At 36.7% G+C, this 8,715-nt stretch overlaps 1 protein-coding gene across 1 annotated transcript; it reads right to left on the bottom strand.

The window, feature by feature from the left end:
• Positions 1-1,063: 1,063 nt before the first annotated feature.
• On the bottom strand, positions 1,064-8,126 carry OR8D4 (olfactory receptor family 8 subfamily D member 4). Its single transcript, NM_001005197.2, has 2 exons — positions 8,036-8,126; positions 1,064-3,876 (listed from the first exon to the last, which is right to left on the bottom strand). The coding sequence occupies exon 2, from the start codon at positions 3,859-3,861 to the stop codon at positions 2,917-2,919; it is 945 nt and encodes a 314-aa protein (NP_001005197.1). The 5' UTR covers positions 3,862-3,876; positions 8,036-8,126; the 3' UTR covers positions 1,064-2,916.
• Between the last annotated feature and the right edge of the window lie 589 nt (positions 8,127-8,715).

The raw sequence follows: 8,715 nt of genomic DNA, 5'->3' as shown, positions 1-8,715 counted from the left end.
GTTAAAAATTTGATGTTACAGCAGAGAGGGACAAAGAATGTAGGCTTCTATTCCACCCTCTTGCTCCACCTTCAACCTTCAAAATTTTAAATGGAATATATGCAAAGAGAACATACAAAAAACAAATACTCTTTAGCCCTAGCTAGGATGTTGTTCCTAAATCATTATGTAGTCTCTCAGCCTTGGAAAATGTATTGAAAATGAATAAGCTGCATATAAAATTAGTAAAAGCCCCAAGGAAATTAGATTTCTTTATATATGTCATTGCTAGTCAAATGACAGTGGTAGTCTTGAGCACTGAGTTTAAAAAAAAAAAAAAAAGACCACACCACATCTGAATTTTTTGGAGTCCCATAATGCAGAAGTTATGCCTGCCATGGATATGCATACAAGAGTAAATGCAGTAACCCCACCTATGTATCATCCCTCGGTCAAACCATTTCTTACCTACTCTCTCCTAATTTTCTTAACTGACCTTCTAAACAGGAGTCAGAAAAATCTTCTAAGTAGAAAAATATCTCAGGTCCTTGTTAACTAATCAGTAACATGAGAGGCATCCCATAATGGAGATATAACACACACAAAAAATTAAGCACTTTATATAAAAAACACAGCTTTTCTCCTTCTTGCAAAAGCTCTGTCTAGTGGTATCTGTCAGTAACTCCTATGTAAATTTCCATGTAAATTGTTTTTGTTTCTTTGGGGAAGAGAAAATGAGTTAGAAGTGATTTTTACTTTATGAGAAAACTTTGCTTACTATGAATAACTGAAAGGCTTGCTTCTTTATAATAAGCATTGTTTAACATACATTGAAAACTGTATAACTCTACTATTATATTTATGTTAATTTTGGCTACTTGGAAACTCAGACAGATATGAAGATCAAACATTGCAACTACTTTGGATTTTATGATCCATCTGTGTTTTTATTTTGACTGGTCTTGACTCACTTTTATTGTTTATATTTTCCTTATTTTGAAATTTTTATTTTAACTTTATTAAAATATATCATCCTCAAGCATCACACTTTCAATTCAACAGCAAATCTTATTTATTCACAGTCAGAAATGTATCTTGAATCTATTTTTTTTTATTTCTACTGCTATTCCTGGAACTAAAATCACATTGTTTCTTACCAAAATAAGTTTAACAGCATCAAAAGTACCCTCTCTGCTTCCACTCTGGCCAATAGCACTATCTTTCCCTATCTAACCCTTCCCACAAACATACACACACATAAATATCTATCTATTTTCTAATCAATAACCAGAAGATATTTTTCAAATGTAAAACAGATTACATCGCTCTGCTTTTGAAACATTCCAATTGCTTCTCATTGTACTTAGGATAGAATTAAAACTCCCTAAGTGATCTAGAGTTTGCCTACTTATCCAACCTCCTTTGGTTCCTTTTCTCCCTCTCTCACTGACCGTCTGCCATACTGCCTTCTCCGTTTCTTGAATATGGCCAAGTTTGTTCCAGCCTTCGACTTTGTACTTGCCGCTGCCTTTCTGGTTTCTGCATAACTGTACCCTTTTCTTCATTTAGGTTTCATTTCAAATGTCCTTTCTTCAAAGAGCTCTATTGAGAGTAGAATTTGAACCACTGAAAATTACATAACTCATTTTTTCCAAAGGACTTATCTATAATTATGTTTGTTCACTGAACTACCTCTGTATTATCTATCATCTTTTTCACCCCCTAAAAGTAAAGAGATACCTTGTCTATCATATTCACCATAATATTCCAACACTCAGAACAGTGCCTGGCACATGGTGTCCATGATAAGCATATGCTGAACAAATGAATTAGCTAATACATCACATTCCCCATACAGCATACTATCTTGGTTCACTGTATAGGTTCATTCTTAAAAATCATAAGCTTTTTCATTATCTTTATCTCAAAACATGTGGAGGAAATTAAAGACACCTAGTTACAGCTTACAAAGAAAATACCAACTCAAAAGAAACAAACAGAAAGTTACAAAATACTGCACATATACTGGTCATGCTGAAAAAAAACAAGACATTTTAATAAGGTTATAAACATCATCTCTTCATCTAGTCATTGTTAAATCTTATTTTTGGATCAACAGCTGCCAAATACTGAGACCATATTAGCTTAGTCCTTTGTTGAATCTTCTTCATTGCATTACACTGTAAGACAATACTGGCTTTCAAGAAGCCCTTTATAAGAAACAATCAAGAAAAATTCTCCCACAGTTATTACAAAATTGTTGTAATAATTTCCATCACGCTGCTCAATTTTTTTTGAAATTAGGTGTGGTTTTCTTCTGATATGACTATGCAGTACACCATGATGATGATTTCCTTTTGGGCTTGGATTCAGGAAACTAAAGATAAAAATTGTTGTTCAATCCCAGCAAAGGTATTAACTTTAAATTTAAAATATTTTTTACTTTTCACTTTCATATATGTTGTTTTACATGTTATTAATGTAATTATCTGTGCATATATTTACTAATCTAAATATATATAATTTCATCTGATTTCAAATTACTTTTTTTTTTTTTTTTTTTTTTGAGACAGACTTTCACTCTTGTCACCCAGGCTGGAGTGCAATGGTGTGATCTCGGCTCACTGCAACCTCCGCCACCCGAGTTCAAGCAATTCTTCTGCCTCAGCCTCCCAAGTAGGTGGGATTACAGGTGCCCACCACCATGCCCTGCTAATTTTTTTGTAATTTTAATAGTGATGGGGTTTCATCATCTTGGCCAGGCTGGTCTTGAACACCGGACCTCGTGATCCACCCAACTCGGCCTCCCAAAGTGCTGGGATTACAGGCGTAAGTCACCGTACCTGGACCTCAAATTACTTTTAAATAGTCAAGGTATAAATATATACATATAATCATGATTATGAATACAGAAATAGATCTTAATAAAGAGCATATTTATCCTGGAGATAAAGATATTTTTCTTCTTAAAAGTTTCATCAGAGCATTTCTTACTTCATTGTTCCTCAGACTATATATCAAGGGATTCAACATGAGAATCACAGTGGTATAAAATACTGAGGATACTTTCTCCTGGGTGAGTGAACTGCTAGAAGCAGGTTTGAGATACATGGACATCAGAGACCCATAAAACATAAGAACAGCTGTCAGGTGGGAGCTACAGGTGCTAAACGCTTTGCACCTGCCCTTTTTAGAGTGGATGCGCAGGATGCTGGTGAGGATAAAAGCATATGAAATAATGATTGTTAGGCTTGTGGCCACCATGTTAAATCCACCAATGACAAAAATCAAAAGCTCATCAATATAAGTGCTGGAGCAGGAGAGTTTAATAAGAGGGACAATGTCACAGAAATAATGTTTAATGATGTTTGATCCACAGAAAGACAACCTGAGTATACAACCTCCATGGATCACAGCATCAGTGAAACCTACTGAGAAGACAGCAGCCACCAGCAGAGAACAGACCCTAGGGGACATGATGACCCTGTAGAGCAGTGGGCTGCAGATGGCCACGTAGCGATCGCAGGCCATGGCTGCCAGCATGTAGCATTCAGAAATAACACAAACACAGAAAAAAAACAGCTGAATCATGCATCCAGAATAGGAGATGGATCTATCTCTGCATAAAAACCCTGATAGCATTTTAGGGGTAATGACAGAAGAATAGCAGAAATCTAAAAAAGACAAACTACTCAGGAAATAGTACATGGGGGTATGAAGTTGACGATTCAGCCTAATAATTGAGATCATGCTGAGGTTTCCCACCACAGTAACTGTGTAAATTCCTAAGAAGAGGCAGAAGAGGGGCAGCTGAAGCTCTGCTTGTTCAGTTAATCCTGAAAGAAGAAACTCAGTCACTGTGGAATGGTTTTTTACACCCATTCTTCTCTGAGAAATCTGTGGAGATGAGAGAGAAAAAGTCAAATTCTATCAGTGTTTGTTTCTATAGAAAACAAATATCAGTGTTTTCTCTCTATGAAAACACTGACTTTGTGTTACGAAAACCAAAAAGTGAACACTCAGATGAAATGGAGTCGGTAAGCATCTACCTACCTATAGATTTTAGGAACCAGAAACACACTTTTCCATACCCTCCAGTGGAACAAATTCTCTTAGCAAACGACAGAACCTTTTACTCCAGAGTTAGAGACAAAACTAATGCTTAAAACCAGGGGATTTCTGTTGTGGAGAAATGCCAGCCACTGGAGTAAAAGAATTTAGCAAGACAGTTGTAGGTAAAGGAAGACAGACTAATTAGAGAAAGTAGGAAAATACGTTGCCAGGGAGACAACGAGCTACTCAGCAGAAGCTGACTGCAAAGATACAAAGCCTTGCTGAAAATTTTATAGGATGATATTTATGCTGTTTGTTGAAGAGGGCTTTGTGCAGTACTGATAACACCAAGGTTGCAGGGAGCTAATTTGCAGGTGTCTGGTGATAGTTGGATGCAGGAAGACTGTGAGTTATTTGTGCAGGAGGGCTGTGTGTCCTGGGCCATGAAGAAAGGCAGACTTGTAGCTCATCTGCTTTCTCTTTTTGCTTTTCCCTGCTCCCACCAGCCTGACTCCCCTTCCCTAATTAGGACTCCACAGTTTCTTAAAGCAAATTAGTTAAGTAGGTGCATAAACTAGAGGCTGAGGACTATGAGAATACTTTTGCTAGTGACACATTTGCCAAAGGCTGACTCTTCCTCCAGGATTTCCTATAGAGAAGGTATCTACTGTTAAGGTGAATTATAATTTTCTACATCAAGGTTTCCAAGGGTGTTCAGCAAAAGAATAATTCCAGGGAGATGTTAAAAGGTGTTACATTAAATAAGTATCTGAGGATCATATGACTTCAGACATCCTGAATTACATAGTTAAACTGGTTTTGTAACTGGAGGATGCCTCAGTCCTCCTGAAGGACTATATAAATACAATATTTATCAAACTTACTTGGTGATAGGCCAACTTCACACTTTTTAAAAACATTTTATAGCACAAGCATGGCTCAGAATGTATTTTAGAAAACTATATTTTCATTTGTGTGTTTGTTCTATTTTTAATCTAATCATACATTGATTTCCAGGTGGGAAATTAATTCGTACACTTGAGTAAAAAGCTGGATGATAGTAGAATGGCAGACTTCCCAAAACTGTTTCTACCTTCTGGATCTCTGGCCATCCTCCAGGCTAAGGCTACATCTCTCGCCAAGGCCATGGAGTCCAATATAACACACTAGTGCTGCCACTACTGGCAATGCAAGCAACCCAGATGTTTTTGTTGCCACTTGGAGGCTCCCACATAGCACACATCTTGGAATCGTCTATTCTGGGGTCAATCATGGCCTTATCTCTGAGAAAGCTGACCCTTTATTTAGTGTTGGGCCTCTCCCAGAGCTCACTCCAGACTCTCATATTTGCCCAAATGGCTCAATTGTCTAGGGTTGCATTTTCTCATTCTGCCCAGCTACCTGGCTATTTAATAAGCTGTTCATGTCTTCTTGTTTCCAATATATTACTGCTGTAATAGGACAAGCCAAACTTCCGTAGGCAGCTTGAGTTCCCAGGATGCAGGTGACTCCTTATTTCCCAAATCCTTCTCACAGTTTAAAACAAATAAGCTGCATGAGCACTGAACAGCTATTCTCTGAGCAGGCTTCCCCATTCTTCAGAACCTGTGTCTTTTGTATCTGCTCCTCTCTCATCCTAAATGATGGAGATGGAAGATCACGTGCAAAAGTGAGTGTCCAATTGCTCTTTGCCTGTTACAGAAATACCCGGAGTCTTCCTTTCCCATTACTCCTTACCAGTTAGCATTCATGTGTGTAGTCTAGTCACAGAGGCTTATCGAAGTAATGTTCAAAAAACCTATATGCTCAGTTTTTTGTCTTTAATATCATGGGTTTTTTAAAGCATGTTTTAAAATCTGTCCTGAGTGTTACAAACACACTGACCACTCTTATATTTAATTCTCCTGCATGCCCCCTAATTCCTACTGGGCTCCCTCTCCAAGTAAAATGTCTTATTCTGCTCATGTTCCTTGTTTTATTCTAGTGTCCTGCACTGTTCTTCCCTCTTCTCAAGCCTGTGAGGTTTCTTTTTCCTGTGTTCTCACTTTCTAAAACATTTCTGTGGTTTAGGTTTGTACTACACAGTGTGGTCTATGAACCAGTAGTAGCAGTATCACTCAGAGATTTTTTTAGCAATGCACAGTCTCAGGCCCTACCTCACACCTGCTGAGTGAGGATCTACATTTTAGTGGGATTCTCACATGATTTGTGAGTGCATTAACATTTGAGAGGCGCTATTTTCAGTTATTTTCTCCTAGAGCTGAAGTCATCGATCTTCTTTCTTGTTTCCTTCTCTAAACTTTTCTGATTCATTTTGTGCCAGAAAGCATTACCTGATTATGTAAAGCCCATCTTTGAAGACATCTTCTCAAGGAAAGCCTTCTCAGATGAAGAATAGAAAGTGTACAATTTTACATTTCAGTATTTTGCCACCTATTTGAAAACTCACAGATTCCATGGCAGTGTAATGTGCATGTCAAATAGATTATTGCAACAAATTGTATTCTGTTTTTGCATTTGTAGGAAGAAAAATTATACACATTCCATCTTAGTCCACACAAAAGTAAGCAATGATAACCAGCATCTACTTTATTTAACCAACCGATAAACAGTAAACTTGACTAGCCTAGGGATACAAATTTATGAGGTTGTATTTCTGACCAAAATAATCTACTACATTGATTCAGACCTCATTCAGGACTCAGGTGGTTTTTAGCAATTTAAAATCATAAGAAAAGTGTTTTTAAACATTTCAATGCATCTCACAGTATTATTAAAACTATGACTATTGAAAGTATTTTGCAAAGGTAAATGCTAGATCAGCATTGCCCAATAGACATATAATGCAGACACACGGGCAATTTAAAACATCCTAGAAGTTCATTTTGTAAAAAGTCAGAATAAAAAGATAAAATACATTTTACTAGTATGTTTTGTTTAACTCAGTTCAGTCCTTGATATCCATAGGAGACTGGTTCCTGGACCCCTTCAGATACCAAAATCCCTGAATGCTCAAGTCCCTGATTTAAAATGGTGTCGTATTTTTATGTAACCTAACTAAGCACATCCTTTTGTATACTTTAAATCATCTCTAGATTACTTATAATACCTAATATAATGTAAATGCTAAGTAAATATTTCTTTTAGTATATTGTTCAGGGAATAACAAGAAAAATGTCTGTACATATTCAGTACAGATATAACCACCCATTAAAAAAAAATCTTCCATCTGCCATTGGTTGAATCCACAGATGTGGAACCCACAGACACACAGGCCAACTGTACATGCAAAATGATGTACATGTACATCATTTCAACATATAATTCATATTTTAAAAATAATGAGATATTTTACATTATTTTATTATACAAATCTTTGAAATCCATAGTGTATTTTATACCCGGCCAGATTTCAAATGCTCAGTAGCCACCTATGGCTAGTGGCTATATTACTGGACAACAGAAGTCTAGAATGTGATCTTTTTCCCTAAATCTTTCAAATCTGAATTGTCCCCTTTTAAAGAAAGAAACCATTAGTACAGAGGTAACAGAAAGACCATGAACCCTGAGTTATAAGATGCAGTATCATTTTCATTTCTAAGATTTACAGTGCAACCTTTGACTCATAAAGTCTCTCTGAACTTCATATTTTAATCTGTAAAAAATAATAAATACTTCAAAAGATTGTTATGCAAATCAAATGAGACAATAACTGTGAATGTATTTTACATATTATAAGGTTCACATAAATATATTTGTAAATATATTTTTAAAGCAGGTGATTTCACAGATTAATTCATATATTAGACACAAGATACTTAGGTAAGGTGACTGGACAATGCATAAATGAGTCTGAGATGGATGCCTATGGCCTCTTCCCTAAACTTCTGTGACTCAGTGGCCTCAAACATGCAGCTCGAGAACCCATGGGGACAATCGGGAATTGATTTCAGAACACATTTTAATATACTTATAATATGAACATCATAATTCTGAAGCTCACCTTTTTCCTCCTGAAGACTGTAGGTGAGTATCTCTTCTTTCTCCTAACCTCATCACTTCAGGAGTAGAGATGGATTGATTTTACCTTCTTCTTTAAGTGTCTGAGTGACAACAGCTAACAAGAAGCTATGACTTTTATTCTCAGTTCAGGTATTTTGTGTCAAGAAATATAAAGACCAGTAGTCCCAAGGGTTTCTTGTCTCCTGAGGTACAGCAGCCTATGTATTTGTAAGAACTATCCATGAACTGGCCTATCATTTTGGGAATCTAACATGGATTAGTCACACTAATGCCCCTTGCCATTCAGTCGGGGAAGATACATGGTCTAACACATGGCTTGCATTTTAAAATGTTGAACAAATGAGGCATCATAGACAGTGCTTGGTATAATAAGCAGTAGGTAGACTTTGAGGTCAGAGATGGAACAGGTCATTACTGTCTAGAGCGATAAGGACGATCTTCATGGAAAGGTAGATTGTAAAATATGCCTTCAAAGGTGGGGAGGATCCATTTAAGCTGAGAGGATATGAAAGAATATTCAAGACGTAGATAAAGGCATAAGCAAAGGAACTGAGAAGTAGAAAACCTAAGGAATATGTGAAGAACACTGGGAATAGCTGAAGTGTTTCTTGGATGAAAGCAGTAGATTCAGTGTTTCTAGTGTCTGCTAATGATGGAAGA

This window comes from Homo sapiens, chromosome 11, assembly GCF_000001405.40.
Source record: "Homo sapiens chromosome 11, GRCh38.p14 Primary Assembly".
Lineage (NCBI taxonomy): Eukaryota > Metazoa > Chordata > Mammalia > Primates > Hominidae > Homo > Homo sapiens.
Note: the sequence above shows the minus strand (reverse complement) of the source record. Positions and strands in the feature narration are given on the sequence as shown.

Excerpts from the sequence above, each read along its gene's own strand:
- OR8D4 (NM_001005197.2), bottom strand. The coding sequence starts at position 3,861 with ATGGGTGTAAAAAACCATTCCACAGTGACTGAGTTTCTTCTTTCAGGA.